The 18,119-nt window shown below is 50.9% G+C and overlaps 1 protein-coding gene and 1 pseudogene across 2 annotated transcripts in view, besides 7 other annotated features; one reads left to right on the top strand and one right to left on the bottom strand.

Annotated features, from left to right (window-relative positions):
• Nucleotides 2,978-3,178: a silencer, noted in NCBI's record as "peak3354 fragment used in MPRA reporter construct". NCBI's record gives its function as "represses an SCP1 promoter by STARR-seq MPRAs in K562 erythroleukemia cells {active_cell/tissue: K562}" and the evidence as "EXISTENCE:reporter gene assay evidence [ECO:0000049][PMID:32103011]".
• Nucleotides 4,591-5,115: an enhancer, noted in NCBI's record as "H3K27ac-H3K4me1 hESC enhancer chr19:10703269-10703793 (GRCh37/hg19 assembly coordinates)". NCBI's record gives its function as "activates a minimal SCP1, AML or CMV promoter by ChIP-STARR-seq in primed H9 embryonic stem cells {active_cell/tissue: H9 hESC(primed)}" and the evidence as "EXISTENCE:reporter gene assay evidence [ECO:0000049][PMID:30033119]".
• Nucleotides 5,642-6,166: an enhancer, noted in NCBI's record as "H3K4me1 hESC enhancer chr19:10704320-10704844 (GRCh37/hg19 assembly coordinates)". NCBI's record gives its function as "activates a minimal SCP1, AML or CMV promoter by ChIP-STARR-seq in naive H9 embryonic stem cells {active_cell/tissue: H9 hESC(naive)}" and the evidence as "EXISTENCE:reporter gene assay evidence [ECO:0000049][PMID:30033119]".
• Nucleotides 7,641-7,830: an enhancer, noted in NCBI's record as "active region_13980". NCBI's record gives its function as "activates an Ori minimal core promoter by ATAC-STARR-seq in GM12878 lymphoblastoid cells {active_cell/tissue: GM12878}" and the evidence as "EXISTENCE:reporter gene assay evidence [ECO:0000049][PMID:35858748]".
• LSM2P1 (LSM2 pseudogene 1) lies at nt 9,998-10,975 on the bottom strand (annotated as a pseudogene).
• Nucleotides 14,229-14,758: a silencer, noted in NCBI's record as "silent region_10084". NCBI's record gives its function as "represses an Ori minimal core promoter by ATAC-STARR-seq in GM12878 lymphoblastoid cells {active_cell/tissue: GM12878}" and the evidence as "EXISTENCE:reporter gene assay evidence [ECO:0000049][PMID:35858748]".
• SLC44A2 (solute carrier family 44 member 2 (CTL2 blood group)) overlaps nt 14,453-18,119 on the top strand; it is a 42,103-nt gene continuing 38,436 nt past the window's right edge. For both annotated transcript variants that reach the window (XM_047439113.1, NM_001145056.2), the window contains exon 1: nt 14,453-14,559. In XM_047439113.1, coding sequence (XP_047295069.1) covers nt 14,529-14,559 — 31 coding nt within the window. In that variant the 5' untranslated portion in view covers nt 14,453-14,528. The remainder of the gene's footprint in view (nt 14,560-18,119) is intronic.
• Nucleotides 15,099-15,158: an enhancer, noted in NCBI's record as "active region_13981". NCBI's record gives its function as "activates an Ori minimal core promoter by ATAC-STARR-seq in GM12878 lymphoblastoid cells {active_cell/tissue: GM12878}" and the evidence as "EXISTENCE:reporter gene assay evidence [ECO:0000049][PMID:35858748]".
• Nucleotides 16,489-16,598: a silencer, noted in NCBI's record as "silent region_10085". NCBI's record gives its function as "represses an Ori minimal core promoter by ATAC-STARR-seq in GM12878 lymphoblastoid cells {active_cell/tissue: GM12878}" and the evidence as "EXISTENCE:reporter gene assay evidence [ECO:0000049][PMID:35858748]".

Consider the following 18,119-nt stretch of genomic DNA (forward strand, 5'->3'; position numbering starts at 1 on the left):
ATCCATTCACCTTCTTTCTCCTCTGTCTCACCCACACACGTCAGCCCCCATACAGCAGGGACTTTGTCTTGTTCATGTTTATGTCCCTAGTGCTCAGCACTGGGTGCTCAAAATTTGCCCAATTCATTCATTCACTCATTCATATAATAATTTTCACTGGTGAATTTTACTGACTGAATTTGAAATATTCATTCACTCAGTAACAGGAACTGTGGATATAATTCCGAGCAGGACAAATGTACTTGCTTTTATTATTCTTACAAATTTACTCTTATTCATTTCAAATAAAAAATTTATTTTTTTTTGTTTTTTGAAATGGAGTCTCACTCTGTTGCCCATGCTGGAGTGCAGTGGAATGATTTTGGCTCACTGCAACCTCCACCTCCCAGGTTCAAGCAATCCTCCTGCCTCAGCACCCCTAGTAGCTGGGATTACAGGCAAGCGCCACCATGCCCAGCTAATTTTTTTTTTTTTTTAGACTCCAGGCTGGAGTGCAGTGGCATGATCTCTACTCACTACAACCTCCGCTTCCCGGGTTCAAGGGATTCTGCTGCCTCAGCCTCCCAAGTAGCTGGGATTACAGGTATGCGCCATCACGCCTGGCTAATTTTGTATTTTTAATAGAGATGGGGTTTCACCATGTTGGCCAGGCTGGTCTCGAACTCCCGACCTCAGGTGATCCACCCGCCTCAGCGTCCCAAAGGGCTGAGATTACAGGCGTGAGCCACCGCACCCAGCCAAAAAACTTTTTTTGTAGAGACAGGGTCTCACTCTGTACCCTAGACTGGACTGCAGTGATGCAATCATGGCTCACTACAGCCTCAACTTCCTGGGCTCAAGCCATCCTCCTGCCTCAGCCTCCCTAGTAACTGGAACTACAGGCACAAACCGCCACACCCAGCTAATTTTTTTTGAGACAGAATTTTGCTCTAGTTTACCAGGCTAGAGTGCAGTGATGTGATCTCGGCTCGCTGAAACCTATGCCTCCTAGGTTCAAGCAATTCTCCTGCCTCAGCCTCCCGAGTAGCTGAGATTACAGGCATGCGCCACCATGCCCGGCTACTTTTTTTGTATTTTTAGTAGAGACAGGGTTTCTCCATGTTGGTCAGGCTGGTCTTGAACTCACGACCTCAGGTGATCCACCCGCCTTGGCCTCCCAAATTGCTAGGATGACAGATGTGAGCCACTGCGCCTGGCCACAACTAGCTAATTTTTTTTTTTTTTTTTAATTTGGAGTCTCGTCCTGTTGCCCAGGCTGGAGTGCAATGGCACAATCTCGGCTCACTGCAACCTCTGCCTCCCAGGCTCAAGCGATTCTGCTGCCTCAGCCTCCCAAGTAACTGGGATTACAGGCGTGCACCACCAAGCCCAGCTAATTTTTTGTATCTTTAGTAGAGATGGGGTTTCACCATGTTGGCCAGGCTGGTCTCGAACTCCTGACCTCGTGATCCATCTGCCTTGGCCTCCCAAAATGCTGGGATTACAGGCGTGAGCCACTGCGCCTGGCCCACACCTAGCTGATTTTTTTTTTTTTTTTTGAGACAGAGTCTGGCTTTGTCGCCCAGGATGGAGTGCAGTGGCGCAATCTCTGCTCACTGCAACCTCTGCCTCCCAGCTTCAAGCAATTCTCTGCCTCAGACTCCCAAGTAGCTGGGATTACAGGCGCCTGCCACCACGCCCGGCTAATTTTTTTTTTGTATTTTTAGTAGAGACGGGGGTTTCACCATCTTGGCCAGGCTGGTCTTGAACTCCTGACCTCGTGATCCACCCGCCTCAGCCTCCCAAAATGCTGGGATGACAGGTGTGAGCCACCGCGCCAGGCCAGGCCCACCTAGCTAATTTTTTTTTTTCTTTGAGATGGAGTCTCGCTCTGTTACCCAGGCTGGAGTGCAATGGCGCGATCTCAACTCACTGCAAGCTCCGCCTCCCAGGTTCACACCATTCTCCTGCCTCAGCCTCCCGAGTGGCTGGGACTACAGGCGCCTGCCAACACGCCTGGCTAACTTTTTGTACTTTTAGTAAAGACAGGGTTTCACCATGTTAGCCAGGATGGTCTGGATCTCCTGACCTCGTGATCCGCCCGCTTCGGCCTCCCAAAGTGCTGGGACTACAGGTGTAAGCCACCGCACCCGGCCCGACCTAGCTAATTTTTACATTTTTTGTAGAGATGGTGTATCGGTATGTTGCCCAGGCTGGTCTCAAACTCCTGGGCTCAAGCGATCCTCCCCCCTTGGCCCTCCAAAGTACTGGGATTACAGGCGTAGTCTGAGCCACTGTGCCTGGTTTGTGCAGATTAAATGAGTTATTCTGTGCAACGTGGTGTTGGAAGGGAACTTGGATGTAGCTGACTGTCAACCATGTCGCTGAGAAGGAGGAGGATGAAGATGATGATCTGGATGATGATGTAGCAGTTGAGAGCACAGATGCTGGGTTTGATTTTTGATACCACCACACACTGGCTATAAGGCATGGGCTGGTGAATGCACCTGCTGTGCCTCAGTCTCCTCTTATGTTAAATGGGTATAACAGCCATGGTGCCCTCTCCTGCAGTTGCATAGCCAAATACCTGGCATGGCCCCTGGCTCCATGCATGTTTCGTGCACACCAGCTGCTGCAGACCCAGATTCCACCCCTGGACTTTCCTTTTTTTTTTCTTTTGAAATGGAGTCTCAGTCTGTCGCCAGGCTGGAGTGCAGTGGTGCGATCTCAGCTCACTGCAACCTCTGTCTCCTGGGTTCAAGCGATTCTCCTGCCTCAGCCTCCCAAGTAGCTGGGACTACAGGTGCACTCCACCATGCCCAGCTAATTTTTGTATTTTTATTAGAGATGGGGTTTCACCATGTTGACCAGGATGCTGTCGAACTCTTGACCTCGTGATCCGCCCACCTCAGCCTCCCAAAGTGCGGTAGTTTTGAGGACAGGGCAGAAGGAAAGGGAAAGTAAACCTCAGCCTTGCTTAGAACCACCTTGCTTGGCTGAGGGAGGGAGATGTCCTGCAGGGCCTGCAGGGAACAAGACTCAGCCTACCCAGACCTCACTTGTCCTTTCCCCAAACCCTGCCCAGCCCTTTATCAGCCCCTGTAGGTGGGGACTTAGAGAACAGCAGCTATCAGGATCATCCACTTGCCTCTCCACCTGAAATTAACATCAACATTGACAGCAGCACTGCACTTTAATTAAAACATTATCATCTGGGCCAGGAGCAATGTTTCATGCCTGTATCCCAGCACTTTGGGAGGCCAAGGTGGACAGAGCACCTGAGGCCAGGAGTTTGAGACCAGCCTGGCCAACATGGCGAAACCCTGTCTCCACTAAAAATACAAAAATTAGCCGGGCGTGGTGACGCATGCCTGTAATTCCAGCTACTTGGGAGGCTGAGGCAGAAGAATCACTTGAACTGGGGAGGCGGAGGTTATAGTGAGCCGAGATGGCACCACTGCACTCCAGCCTGGGTGACAGAGTGAGACTCCGTCTCAAGAAAATAAATAAATAGAATGAAAAATAAAAAGTTATCATCTGGCACAAGTCTCCTTCGTGCCATCTTATAAAGGTAGAAGCAGGGACACAGAGAAGTGAAGGCACCTGCCCAAGCCCACGGCCCCAGAGCCAGGAGGCAGTTGACCCAGAATTCGAATCTGAGTCCCGGGATTTAAGAATCTGGTCCCAGCCTGCTTCCGCCTGCTTTGCTATATTGCTGGATGCAAATATTACTATTAGTAACACTAACTCTGGCTTAAATGGTGCTCACCATAAGTGAGGGTGGCCCTAAATGTCGCCCATGCAGGAATCCTCAAGACAGCCCCTTGAATTACAGAAGCCTATTTTTTTTTTTTATTTATTTGAGACAAGGACTTGCTTTGTCGCCCAGGCTGCGGTGCAGTGGTGCAAACACGGCTCACTGCAGCCTCAACCTTCTGAACTCAAGAGATCCTCTCACCTAGGCCTCTCCAGTAGCTGGGACTACAGGTGAGCAACACCACTCCCAGCTAATTTTTAAATTTTTTTTTTTTTTTTTTTTGAGACAGAGTCTTGCTCTGTCGCCCAGGCTGGAGTGCAGTGGCGCAATCTCGGCTCACTGCAACTTCCGCCTCACAGGTTCACACCCTTCTCCTGCCTCAGCCTCCGGAGTAGCTGGGACTACAGGCATCCGCCATCAAGCCCGGCTAATTTTTTTGTATTTTTAGTAGAGACGGGGTTTCACCGTGTTAGCCAAGATGGTCTCGATCTCCTGACCTCGTGATCCGCACACCTCAGCCTCTCAAAGTGCTGGGATTACAGGCGTGAGCCACCGTGCCTGCCCAATTTTTAAATTTTTTGTAGAGATGGGGTCTCGCTACGTTGCTCAAGCTGGTCTTGAGCTTCTGGCCTCAAGCTGTCCTCCCACCTCAGCCTTCCAAAACACTGAGATTACAGACACGAGTCACCTCCCCCAACTCTATTATCTTCATTTGACAGATAGGGAAACTGAGGCCTTGAGAGAGTAAGTGATTTGTACAATGTCATCCAGTCAGAAGAAGCAGAGCTGGGATTTGAGCTCTGGAAAGCACAAGGTTTTTTTGTTTTGTTTTGTTTTTTGTTTTGAGACAGAGTCTCGCTCTGTCGCCCAGGCTGGAGTGGAGTGGTGTGATCTTGACTCACTGCAACCTCCGCCTCACGGGTTCGAGTGATTCTTCTGTCTCAGCTTCCCAAGTAGCTGGGACCACAGGTTTGTGCCACTATGCCTGGCTAATTTTTGTATTTTTAGTAGAGATGGGGGTTCGCCATTTTGGCCAGGACGGTCTCAAACTCCTGACCTTGTGATCCGCCCGCATTGCACGTTGGCCTCCCAAAGTGCTGGGATTACAGGTTTGAGCCACTGCACCCGGACTTTTTTGTTTTTTGAGATGGAATTTCACTCTTGTTGCCCAGGCTGGAGGGCAATGGTGCAACCTTGGCTCACCATACCCTCCGCCTCCCAGGTTCAAGTGATTCTCCTGCCTCAGCCTCCCAAGTAGCTGGGATTACAGGCATGCACCACCATGCCTGGCTAATTTTGTATTTTTAGTACAGACAAGGTTTCTCCATGTTGGTCAGGCTGGTCTCAAACTCCCGACCTCAGGTGATCCACCCACCTCAGCCTCCCAAAGTGCTGGGATTACAGGGGTGAGCCATCGCACCTGGCCCTGATTATTATTATTATTATTATTATTATTTTTGAGGCAGGGTCTCTGTCACCCAGGCTGGAGTGCAGTGGTGTGATCTCAGCTCACTGCAACCTCCACCTCCCCAGGTTCAAGCAATCAAGCAATTCTCCCACCCCAGCCTCCTGCACAGCTGGGACCACAGGTGCGTGACCACCACATCCAGCTAATTTTTATACTTTTTGGTACAGACAGGTTTCACAATGTCGCCCAGGCTGGTCTCCAACTTGTGGACTTAAGTGGTCCACCCGCCTCGGCCTCCCACAGTGCTGGGATTATAGGCGTGAGCCATCTCGCCCAGCCTAAAGCCCAAGACTTTATGTTGCTTCTGCCCAAAGGAGGGGGGTGGTCCTTCATGCTCCCAGCAACTGCCTGCTGAGAAGGTCACCTAGGGGGATGCAGTCACTGCTAGGCCCTCACCCCAGCCTAGACATTGCTGAACCTCAAAATAACTCGTCTCCTGGCAGCCGGGCGTGGTGGCTCACGCCTGTAATCCTAGCACTTCGGGAGGCTGAGGTGGGTGGATCACCTGAGGTCAGGAGTTTGAGACCAGCCTGGCCAAAATGGTGAAACCCTGTCTGGACTAAAAATACAGAATTAGCCGGGGGTGGTAGCACATGCCTGTAATCCCACCTACTCAGGAGACTGAGGCAGGAGAATCACTTGAAACTGGGAGGCAGAGGTTGCAGTGAGCCAAGATTGCGCCATTGCACTCCAGCCTGGGGCAATAGAGTGAGACTCTGTCTCAAAAACAACAACAACAACAAAATGAAGAACTCATCTCCTGGGGCCCTGAGATGTTTTCAGGCAGTAAGCAGAACCCGAAAGCCTGGGCCCAGTGCCCTGGAATCTGAAACTCCAGGCTTGTTTGGCATGAAAAATTCATGAGCCCAAAAGCTTACTTGGGGTCAGAGAACAGAGCAGCTCTGTGTGCTGGCTCTGCCTGCCCCGCCTGCCCCACCTCAGTGGCGGCCTCCCCCATCCCCCTGAGGCTGTGGCCTTGTCCTAGTTCCTTCTGGATGCCTGGAGCCTCCTCCAGCCTCTCCCAGGGACCACGCCTCTAGGCCCTGTCCACAATCCCTTCTCCACACCACTAAAGAGATCTCTCTGAAACTCACAATTATTTTTTGACTCTCACTCTCACATCCTCTATGGCCCCCCATTGCCCTCCAACCACCCCCACCTGGCACAGTCAGACACCTGCTGACCTCTGCCACAGGACACCACCTGAACCTGCTGTCCCAGACACCCTAACTGCCCGAATTTCAGTTCCTCTCCTGCTGTCTCAAGCCATCCTCCCACCTCAGCCTCCCAAGTAGCTGAGACTATAGACACGTGCCACCACAGCTGGCCACCTTAGCCATTTTGAAGTGCACAGTTCGGTGGCATTAAGCACATTAATGGCCATGCAACCGTCACCACCATCCATCTCCAGAACTTTCTCATCTTCCCAAAGGAAAACTTCTCCCTATGAAACACTCCTTCTCCCTCTCCCAACCCCTGGCACCCACTCTTCTTCTTCTTCTTCTTCTCCTTTTCCTTCTCCTCCTCCTCCTTCTTCTTCTTCTTTTCTTTTTTTTATTTATTTTGAGATGGAGTCTCACCGTCACCGAGGCTTGAGTGCAGTGGCACAATCTCGGCTCACTGCAGCCTCCATCTCCTAGGTTCAAGCAGTTCTCCTGCCTCAGCCTCCTGAGTAGCTGGGATTACAGGCGCCCCCCACCACGCCCAGCTAATTTTATTTTTTTATATTTTATTTATTCATTTACTTTTATTATTTTATTATTATTTTTTTTTGAGACAGAGTCTCGCTCTGTTGCCCAGGCTGGAGTGCAGTGGCACGATCTCAGCTCCCTGCAAGCTCTGCCTCCCGGGTTCATGCCATTCTCCTGCCTCAGCCTCCCGAGTAGCTGGGACTACAGGTGCCTGCCACCACACCCGGCTAATTTTTGTATTTTTAGTAGAGGCAGGGTTTCGCCATATTGGCCAGGCTGGTCTCTTGGCCAAGCTGGTCTGGAACTCCTGACCTGGAGATGTGCCTGCCTCAGCCTCCCAAAGTGCTGGGATTATAGGCGTGAGCCGCCGCGCCCAGCTTTTTTTTCTTTTTTTTTTGAGACGGATTCTCACTTTGTCGCCCAGGGGCTGGAGTGCAGTGGCGCAATCTCAGCTAATTGCAACCTCCTCCTTCTCCTAGTTCAAGTGATTCTCCTGCCTCAGCCTCCCAAGTAGCTGGGATTACAGGCATCTGCCACCACGCTGGGCTAATTTTTGTATTTTTGGTAGAGACTGGGTTTCGCCATGTTGACTAGGCTGGTCTCAAACTCCTGACCTCAAGTGATCCACCCATCTCAGCCTCCCAATGTGCTGGGATTACAAGTGTAAGCCACCATGCCCAGCTACTCAGGAGTCTGAGGTGGGAGGATCACTGGAGCCCAGAAGATTGAGGCTGCAGTGAGCTATGGTTGCACCACTGCACTCCAGCCTCGGTGACAAAGCAAGAACCTATCTTAAGAAAATACTGTGCTGAGCCAGTTCCTGAGAAAACAAAATAGAAAACAAAACTAAAGAAAAGGCAAAAGTTCCTCCCAGCAGAGATGTGAGAGAAAAAGAAAAAAAAAGTCCCCTGTGACACCCCCATACCCCAATCTTCGTCCCTCTCATAACCACTGGCTGATTCAGATCTTTTTCAGCTGGGTTACATGCAGGGGGGTGTGTGTGTGTGTTTGTGTGTGTGTGTGTGTGTGTGTGTGTGTGTGCGCGTGTTGCCCTCTTTCTCTCTCTTTCTCCCATACCATATAAGACTATACAACTTGTGGATGGGCACAGTGGCTCTCACCTGTAATCCCAGAACTTTGGGAGGCAGAGGCGGGTGGGGCACTTGAGGCCAAGAGTTCAAGAGCAGCCTGGGCAACATGGCAAAAAATCTGTCTCTACTAAAAATATAAAAACTGGCCAGGTGTGGTGGCTCACGCCTGTAATCCCTGCACTTTGGAGGCTAAGGCAGGTGAATCACCTGAGGTCAGGAGTTTGAGACAAGCCTGGCCAACATGATAAAATCCTGTCTCTACTAAAAATACAAAAAATTAGCCAGGTATGCTGGCGGACACCTGTAATCCCAGCTACTCGGGAGGCTGAGGCAGGAGAATTGCTTGAACCCAGGAGGCAGAGGTTGCAGTGAGCCGAGATCATGCCACTGCACTCGAGCCTGGGTGACAGAACAAGAATCTGTCTCAAAAACAAAACAAAACAAAACAAACAAGCAACAACAACTATATATATATATATATATATGTATATAGACTAAGCTGGGCATGGTGGTGCGTACCTGAAATCCCAGCTACTCCAGAGGCTGAGGCACACAAATCACTTGAACCCAAGAGAAGGAGGTTTCAGTGAGCTGAGCTCGCACCACTGCACTCCAGCCTGGGCGACAGAGAGAGACTCTGTCTTAAATAAAAAAAAAAAAATACAACTTGCTATTATCACTCAACAATATGACCTGGACGCTACTCCGGAAAGCATGTGGTTGAAGGGGAAGGAAGTGTGTCTTGGGTGTAAAGTCGGACTCCCTGGGTTCAGATCCTTGCAGAGCCACGGGCTCATTATGTTACTGTGGGTAAATTACTTCACCTCTCTGGGTCACTTTCCCCAATTGGAAAATGATTATAATGATTTAATACAGAGTGCTTGGGCCAGACGCGGTGTCTCACGCCTGTAATCCCAGCACTTTGGGAGGCCGAGGCGGTGGATCATGAGGTCAGGAGATTGACACCATCATGGCTAAGACAGTGAAACCCGTTCTTCACTAAAAATACAAAAAACTAGCTGAGCGTGGTGGTGGGTGCTGTAATCCCAGCTACTCAGAAGGCTGAGGCAGGAGAATTGCTTGAACCCGGGAGGCAGATGGTGCAGTGAGCTGAGATCACGCCACTGCACTCCAGCTTGGCGACAGAGTGAGACTCCATCTCAAAAACTAAAACAAACAACAACAACTATATACACACACACACACACACATACACACACAGAGAGCACTTTACTGGGTGAGCCAAGATCGCGCCACTGCCCTCCAGCAGCCTTGGTTCAAAAAAAAAAGGTGCTTGGCCAGCATGGTGGCTCATGCTTGTAATCCCAGCACTTCAAGAGGCCAAGATGGGCAGATCGATTGAGGCTAATGAGACCTGGTCTCTATTTCAAAAAAAAGAAAAAGAGTTAAAAAAATATATAAAGCATTTAATACCTTGTCTGACACTGACTAAGCTTTCTATAAACATTCACTCTTTCTTTCCTTTTTTTTTTTTTTGAGACCGAGTCTCGTTCTGTCACCCAGGCTGGTGTGCAATGGTGCACTCTTGGATCACTGCAACCTCTGACTCCCAGGTTCAAGTGATTCTCCTGCTTCAGCCTCCCAAGTAGCTGGGATTACATGCATGTGCCACCACACTCGGCTAATTTTGTATTTTTAGTAAAGACGGGATTTCTCCATGTTGGTCGGGCTGGTCTCGAACTCCCGACCTCAGGTGATCCGCCCGCCTCGGCCTCCCAAAGTGCTGGGATTACAGGTGAGAGCCACTGCGTCTGGCCTTAGAGACAGATTTTCATCGTGTTGTCCAGGCTAATCTTGAACTCCTGTCCTCAAGTGACCCTCCTGCCTCCCAGAGTGCTGGGATCACAGATGTGAGCCACCACTCCTGGCTGTAAACAGTCACTCTTATTATAATCTGCAGGACCACCACCTTTTTTCTTAAACTATTTTAAAAATTCTCATTTTGAAATGTAACTTTTTTATTTATTATGTATACAAACACACATATATATTTGCATCATAAATGTTATTCCCAATATGGGACAGATTCCTTTCAACCCCCAGGTGAATCACATGGTACCCTGGAAAGACCTAGGAAGCCCTCCCTCCCACCATCTCCAGGGAGGTAGTGAGAACGGCAGGTGCTGGGGACTGGGAAGGCTTTGGAGTTTCCCAGCCTACCTCTTCTCCCTTTCTCAACAAAGGATACCTGTTCCCTATTATTCCCCTTATCCACTCTTCCCTTTTTTAAAAAAAACCCACAAAACCATCATTAGTAAAAAAACAAACAAAACCCCTTCAAGTATTGGGAGTTAGGGGTCCTGGGCTGGGACTTGGAGTTACAGGTCACCAAGGAAGAGGGAAGGGAAGAGAAGGAGGGGCTGTCACTTACTACTGCTGGCTTTCTTCCTTGCTGCATGCTATGGCAACTGTGTGTCGACCTCCTTTGCTGGCAACTGCACGTATGGGACCACTGAGCCCGGAATGAAACAGTCCTTTTTAAAAAACTTTTTTTGAGACAGAGTCTCGCTCTGTCACCCAGGCTGGAGTGCAGTGGCATGATTTCAGCTCACTGCAGCCTCCACCTCCCGGGTTCCAGCAACTCTCCTGCCTCAGCTTCCCGAGTAGCTGTGAATACAGGCGCCCGCCACCACATCCGGCTAAGTTTTGTATTTTAGTAGAGATGGGGTTTTGCCATGTTGGCCAGGCTGGTCTCAAACTCCTGACCTCAGGTGATCCACCTGCCTTGGCCTCCCAAAGTGCTGGGGTTACAGGTGTGAGCCACTGCACCCAGCCTAGAAGTTCTTCACTGATAAAATGTGAGGATATTTCTCAAGGTGTGTGATACTGATGTCAGCTCATTTGATGTTGAGATACTGATCCACCGAATGGAGGGTGCCACAGATGTTCAGGTCTTTCTTGAGTTCCATGACCACATTCATGCCCACAAGGGACTTGAAAAAAGGAATAGAAGAGCATGATGCTGGCGACCTGACCAGGAAGAGCAACACATATTTTATTTTATTTATTTATTTATTTGAGATGCTGTCTCACTCTTTCACCCAGGCCGGAGTGCAGTGGTGCAATCTTGGCTCACTGCGACCTCTGCCTCCCGGGGTCAAGCAATTCTCTGCCTCAGCCTCCTGAGGAGCTGGGATTACAGGCGCCCGCCGCCACGCCCGTCTAATTTTTTTTTTTTTTTGTATTTTTAGTAGGGACCAGGTTTCACCAAGTTAGTCAAGCTGGTCTTGAACTCCTGACCTTGTGATCCACTCAACTCAGCTTCCCAAAGTGCTGGGATTACAGGCGTGAGCCACCGTGCCGGGCCAGCAACACATATTTTAAAAGGGCAGAAGTCGGTTGGGCACAGCGGCTTACACCTGTAATCCCTGCACTTTGGGAGGCTGAGGTTGGTGGATCACCTGAGATCAGGAGTTCGAGACCAGCCTGGGCAACATGGCGAAACCCCGTCTCTACTAAAATACAAAAATTGCCACTGTACTCCAGCTTGGGCAACAGAGCAAGATTCTGTCTCAGAAAAAAAAGGCAGGCAGAGTACGGGGGAGAAGGTCAAGTATTCACAAACTAAACTAAGCTATGTAACTACAATTCTGTTTCCAGTGCCCAGAAGCTGCTCCTATCATCCCAGTAGTTATTACTACCCCAAAAGTCAACCACTGATATATGTTCTGTTACTATAGGTTGATTAGCTATGCCTGTTCTTGAACTTCAGAAAAAAGTGTGTGGTTTCTTTCACACAACATTATGCTTTTTGGGGAGAGATTCATCCATATTTTTGCCTGTATCAATAGTTTATTCCTGGACCAGGCGCTGTGGCTCACACCTGTAATCTCAGCACTCTAGGAGGCTGAGGCAGAAGGATCACTTGAGACCAGCCTGGGCACCCATAGGGAGACCCTCATCTCCACAAAAATTTAAAAAATTAGCCGAGTATGTCCAGGTGCGGTGGCTCATGCCTATAATCCCAGCACTTTTGGAGGCTGAGGGGGGCGGATCACCTGAGGTCGGGAGTTCCAGACCAGCCCGACCAACATAGAGAAACCCCGTCTCTACTAAAAATACAAAATTAGCCAGGCGTGGTGGTGCATGCCTGTAATCCCGGCTACTCAGAGACTAAGGCAGGAGAATCACTTGAACTTGGGAGACGGAGGTTGCGGTGAGCTGAGATCACACCATTGCACCATTGCACTCCAGCCTGAGCAACAAGAGTGAAACTTTGTCAAAAAAAGAAAGAAAGAAAGAAATTAGCCAGGCATGATAGTGTGTGCCTGTAGTCCCAGCAACGGGAGGCTGAGGCAGGAGGATCACTTGAGCTGAGGAGGTCAGGGCTTCAGTCAGCTATGACTGCACCATCGCAATCCAGCCTGGGCAATACAGCAAGATCCTGTCCCTAAAAAAAGAAAGAAGAAAACATTCATTCCTCATCACTAAGGAGAATCCCATGGTATGGGTGAAACCCACCATGGTTTGCTTCACCAATGATCTGTTAATGGGCATTTGGGCTGCTCCTAGTTTTTTTGCCCACTACGAATAAGGATACTATAAGGCTATCATGAACATTTATATGAATGTGTCTGTGGGTTTTTCTTTTCTTCACTTATACTTTTTCTTGGGTATATACCTAGAAGTGCAATTTCTAGGGTATTAACTTTGCAAGAAACTGCCAGATCGTTTTCCAACTGGTTGTGGCATTTTACATTCTCACCAACAGTGTAGGAGAGCCCCCATATGCTTCCCATCTTCCTCAACACTTGGTTCGACCAGTCTTTTTAATTTTAGCTATTCAGGTGGGTGTGCAATGATATCTCATCGAGGTTTTGATTTACATTTCCCTGATGACTTCGTGCTTTATTCTTTTTTCTTTCTTTCTTTCTTTTTTTTTTTTTTTTTGAGACAGGGTCTCACTCTGTCACCCAGGCTGGAGTGCAGTGATGTTTTCACCCATTTTTCTTTCTTTTTTTTTTTCTTTTTGAGACAGAGTTTCGCTTTTTGCCCAGTTCTGTTGCCCAGTTTGGAGTGCAATAGCGTCATCTCAGCTCACCGCAACCTCCACCTCCTGGGTTCAAGCGATTCTCCTCCTCAGCCTCCAGAGTAGCTGGGATTACAGGCATGTGCCACCACACCAGGCTAATTTTTTGTATTTTTAGTAAAGACAGGGATTCTCCATGTTGGTCAGGCTGGTCTCGAACTCCCGACTTCAAGTGATCCGCCCGCCTCGGCCTCCCAAAGTGCTGGGATTACAGGCGTGAGCCTCCGCACCCGGCCTGTTTTCACCCATTTTTTCCACAATAACTGTCAAGGCTGCAGGGAACACCCCTTGGTTACTACATCCCATGCACACACACCTGCAGTGGTTTGTCCAGGGTCAGTGCCAGACAGGAATCGCACCAGGTGAACATGACTTGGATATACTCTTTCTGCCAGGAAACATTCTGCTTCAAAGTATTCACTCACCTGATTTTATGTTATTAAACTCTAAAATTCTTACCAATCTGATGAATGAAAATGGCATCTTTTGGTATGTTCAGTGGTACACGGTGATCAATATTTACCTATCAATTATTTATCTATCCATCTTCTATTATTATTTTTATTTTATTTTATTTTATTTTATTTTTTGAGACGGAGACGGAGTGTCGCTCTGTCGCCCAGGCTGGAGTGCAGTGACACGGTCTCGGCTCACTGCAAGCTCCGCCTCCCGGGTTCACGCCATTCTCCTGCCTCAGCCTCCCGAGTAGCTGAGATTACAGGTGCCCGCCACCACTCCCGGCTAATGTTTTGTATTTTTAGTAGAGACGGGGTTTCACCGTGTTAGCCAGGATGGTCTCGATCTCCTGACCATCTTCCCGCCTCGGCCTCCCAAAGTGCTGGGATTACAGGCGTGAGCCACTGCGCCCGGCCTATTATTATTATTAATTCTTATTATTATTTTGAGACAGGGTTGCCCAGGCAGTGGCACAATCATAGCTCACTGCAGCCTCAAACTCTTGGACTCAAGTGATCCTCCTACCTCAGGCTCCCGAGTAGCTGAATTACAAGTGTGCCTCACCAAGCCCAGCTAATTTTTTAAATTTTTTGTACAGATGAGGGTCTTCCTATGTTGCCCAGGCTGGTCTGGAACTATTTGGCCCAAGCTATCCTCCCGCCTCAGCCTCCGGAGTGGCTGGGATTACAGGCCCGCGCCACCACGCCCAGCCTCAATATCTCCTTGACGATGAAATGCATAGATGAATGAATGAATGAATGACCTCTGTTTGCTCACCATGCACACCCTCAAGAGGGTTACTTGAGAGCTAAGACTGGAAACAAAGGTTGGGGCCCCACCCCTCCCGGGCCAGGCCCCGCCCCCGGTCCCCGCCCTCGCCCTCTCGAGGCTCCCATTGGAGGAGGCGCGCGGGGGCTGGCCCGGCGGGAGGGGCGGGGCCGGGGCCCGGGGCGGGGCGCTGCAGCCCGCGGAGCCTCCCGCCCGCCCGGGCTGGGGTCGCGCTGGCTCGGACTCCGCTCCCCGCCCCGCCGCGGCCATGGAGGACGAGCGGAAAAACGGAGCCTACGGTAGGAGCCGCCTCCGGTCAGGGGCCGCCTCTGCTGACCTGCGGGTGGGAGGACCTTGAGCCAGGGGGACATCTGAGACCCTAGGCACCGGCGCTGCGGCTGGATGGCCCTCCGCGCTCGGGCCCCCGCATCCGACACTGCGCGGATCCCACGCCCCCTGCTCTAACCGGGTCGCCCCGCGTCCCCTCCCCGGGAGCCCCAGCTCCCCCTCCGGCTGATGGGCCGGGGCTCACGGCGCATGCTCCGCCCGGGGAGGTCCCGTTATCTGGGCGGCTCGGATGGCGGGCGGGGGAGGGGAGGCGCGGCGATCTGGGCTCGGAAAAGAGACAGGGCCCTGACCTCCTCAAATCCCCCTCCTCTTCCAATCCCCTTTGTCCATTTCTTCCTCCTTCCCTTTTCCGCCAGAAGTAGCCGTCCGGGGCTTTTGGCCAGATGGGGAAACTGAGGCAAGACTGGGCAGACCGAATACCCAGCTGAGAGCCCACCGAGTCTGGCCAGCCGCCTGGAAACGGCGGAAAGAAGGGCGCCTTTGGTGAGGGGGCAGGAAGGAAGCAGGAAAAAATTGAGAAACTTTCCCCTCCCTGTGCAAGGGGCTGGCGGCTCCCACCTCCCATTTCGAGAGGTGCTGGCGACTGGAACTTCCTCCGGCGAACCTCTTGGGGCGACCTCAGGCATTTGGCCCCGGGGATGGGCCCAGGATGTGGGCTTCTCCATCACCAGCGCCCTGTGGTGCCGCCCTCCCCTGAATTCCCACGGTGGGAGGAGTTGCCATCCTCAGTTTCTCCTTTCTCTTCTCCATTTTGGGTCCCCAAGACCCAACGGAGCCCCAGCCCCACGTGATACTACCCTGGGGGCAAAGAAGCACTGTCGCGCCCCTCTTTGTGTGACAAGAACTTCCTGGAAACTGTGACACTGAAGGGCCCTGGGGAGGGGGCCGGAAACGGCTCGAAAATATTCAAGAAAAACAAGTTGGGTAGAGCTGTGCCTCCCTGCCCCCAGGGACTGTATGGCCTCAGGAGGCTGCCAGGAGAGACAGATCAGGGAGGCTGGGACCTTCCCTGCAGAGCCCAGCCAAGGGGAGGCAGCAGGACCTGGCCACCTCCCAGCACCCCCTCCCCAATTGAAGCTTCCAGCCCAGTCCCCTGGAGGGACCCCCTTGGTCTTCATTTGGGCTCAAATTCCAGCCCCAGTGGCTGTGGGTGCTGTGTGTCCCTTGGGTGTGGCAGGCTGTCTCTGACCTGAGAGTCTCAGCCTGAGGTTCTAGCCAGGTCTTGCCCGCTTGTGGGCAGCATCTGAGGGGGTCTTGGGTCTCTATGAAGTTTGGCTGGGACAGGGACGAGGGGCAGAATGGACAATGATATGATTCACCCAGCCTTGAATTTGGCCAAAGGATGGAATTGAGCTGTGGTCGGAGCTAGGCAGACCTCCCAGGCCCACACATGAGACAGGGGACCCTGCCAGACAGAGCCTTTGCTGGGCTTAAGGGAGTACCTTCAATCAACAAATATTTATTGAGCACGATTTAGGCAGGGGTCTAGACACTGGAAACCCAGCAGTGAATAGACCAGTGAAATCCTTGACCGCAGGGAGTAGTCAAGGGAAGGAATGTGTAATTTTAGGTTGTTGTAAGTTGTGAAGCAAAGAACAAGACGTCGTGTGATCTTGTGTGGCAGAAACAGCAGCGATTATTTTAGGTTACTAAGGGCTGGAGGTTGAGCCAGCCGTGGGAAGATTTAGGGGAAGTGTGTTTCACACAGAAAGAACAGCAAACAAACCACGTAGTTACTTAATTACATTTTGCCTTGGGGCCAAAGGGGGCATCTGGTTTGATTGCTTGAAGTAGGGGTTTTGCTTAGCTTGGAAGTAGTTCCTTCACATCAGAACCAAAAACCTGGGGGCCTTGGACTGGCCCATGACGTCCCTGATAGATGAAGGGAGCTTTCCCCTGGGGATGGTGTGGAAGAGGGGCTCACTTATCCTACCCTCCTGCCCCAGTGGCTTCCCATCCGTCATGAGTTTAGGGGCTGACATCAGACAAACCTAGGCTCAAATCCTGGCTCTGACACTTAGGAGCCGTGTGGCCCTGGGTGAGTCCGTGACCTCTCTGAAGCTCTGTGTCTTTGTCTATAGGACTCGGTGGACCACACTCACTGGTGGGGGAAGAATTTTGCATAGGCTGTCAAGCTCGATGTGCTCAGGAGGCCTCTGGGGCTGGTAGTACTGGGGACATGGCTTTCCCGTGAGCTGATAGAGAAGCAACCCAAGGCATTGACTTGGGTGAGACCAGGTTGGGCAGGAAGTGCATTCCTCAGCAGAGATCATATCTAAAGGAAGGCAGCAGTTCCAAGGGAAATGGGGAAATGGCTCTGGGCCCCGGCGGATGTCAGCAATGGGCATTGCCATCCTTCCCAGCCAGCCCACCCTTGGCAAGAGCAGTGCAGAAAAAGATTCTGCAATCCAAAACAATAAACTCTGACCATGGAGAAATAAAACTGGGGTCGGGGGGACAGTAGTGATGCTTATTTAAAAAACGGACTCTTGCCAGGTATTGTGGCTGACACCTGTAATCCCAGCACTTTAGGAGGCCAAGGCTGGGGGATCACGAGGTCAGGAGATCGAGACAATCCTGGCTACCACAGTGAAACCCCATCTCTACAAAAAATAACAAAAAATGCCAGCCACAGTGGTTCATGCCTGTAATCCCAGCACTTTGGGAGCCAAGGCAGGTGGATCACCTGAGGTCGGGAGTTCGAGACCAGCCTGACCAACATGGTGAATTCCCATCTCTATTAAAAATACAAAATTAGCCAGGCATGGTGGTGCATGCCTGTAATCCCAGCTACTCCAGAGGCTGAGGCAGGAGAATCGCTTGAACTTGGGAGGCAGAGGTTGCGGTGAGCCGAGTTTGTGCCACTGCACTCCAGCCTGGGCAAAAAGAGTGAAATTCAGTCTCGAAATAAATAAATAAATAAATAATAAAAATACAAAAAATTAGTGTACCTATAGTCCCAGCTACTCGGGAGGCTGAGGCCGGAGAATCGCTTCAACCTGGGAGGCAGAGGTTACAGTGAGCCAAGGTGGCGCCACTGCACTCCAGCTTAGGTGACAGAGTGAGACTCCGTCTCAAAAAAAAAAAAGGACTCTTGGCCAGGCAAGGATTACAGGTTCACACCTGTAATCCCAGCACTTTGAGAGGCTGAGGTGGGTGGGTCACTTGAGGTCAGGAGATCGAGGCCAGCCTGGCCAACATGGTGAAACCCCGTCTCTATTAAAAATATAAAAATTAGCCAAGCATGGTGGTGCACATCTGTAATCCCAGCTACTTGGGAGGCTGAGACAGGAGAACTGATTGAACCTGGGAGGCAGAGGTTGCAGTGAGCTGAGATGGTGCCACTGCACTCCAACCTGGGCTATGGAGCGAGACTCCATCTCAAAAAACAACAAAAACCAGACTCTGGCTGGGCAGTCGCTGATGCCTATAATTCCAGCACTTTGGGAGTCCCAGGTGGGAGGATCGCTTGAGCCCATGAGTTTGAGACCAGCCTGGGCAATATAGTGAG

This window comes from Homo sapiens, chromosome 19 (assembly GCF_000001405.40).
Source record: "Homo sapiens chromosome 19, GRCh38.p14 Primary Assembly".
In the NCBI taxonomy this organism is placed as follows: domain Eukaryota; kingdom Metazoa; phylum Chordata; class Mammalia; order Primates; family Hominidae; genus Homo; species Homo sapiens.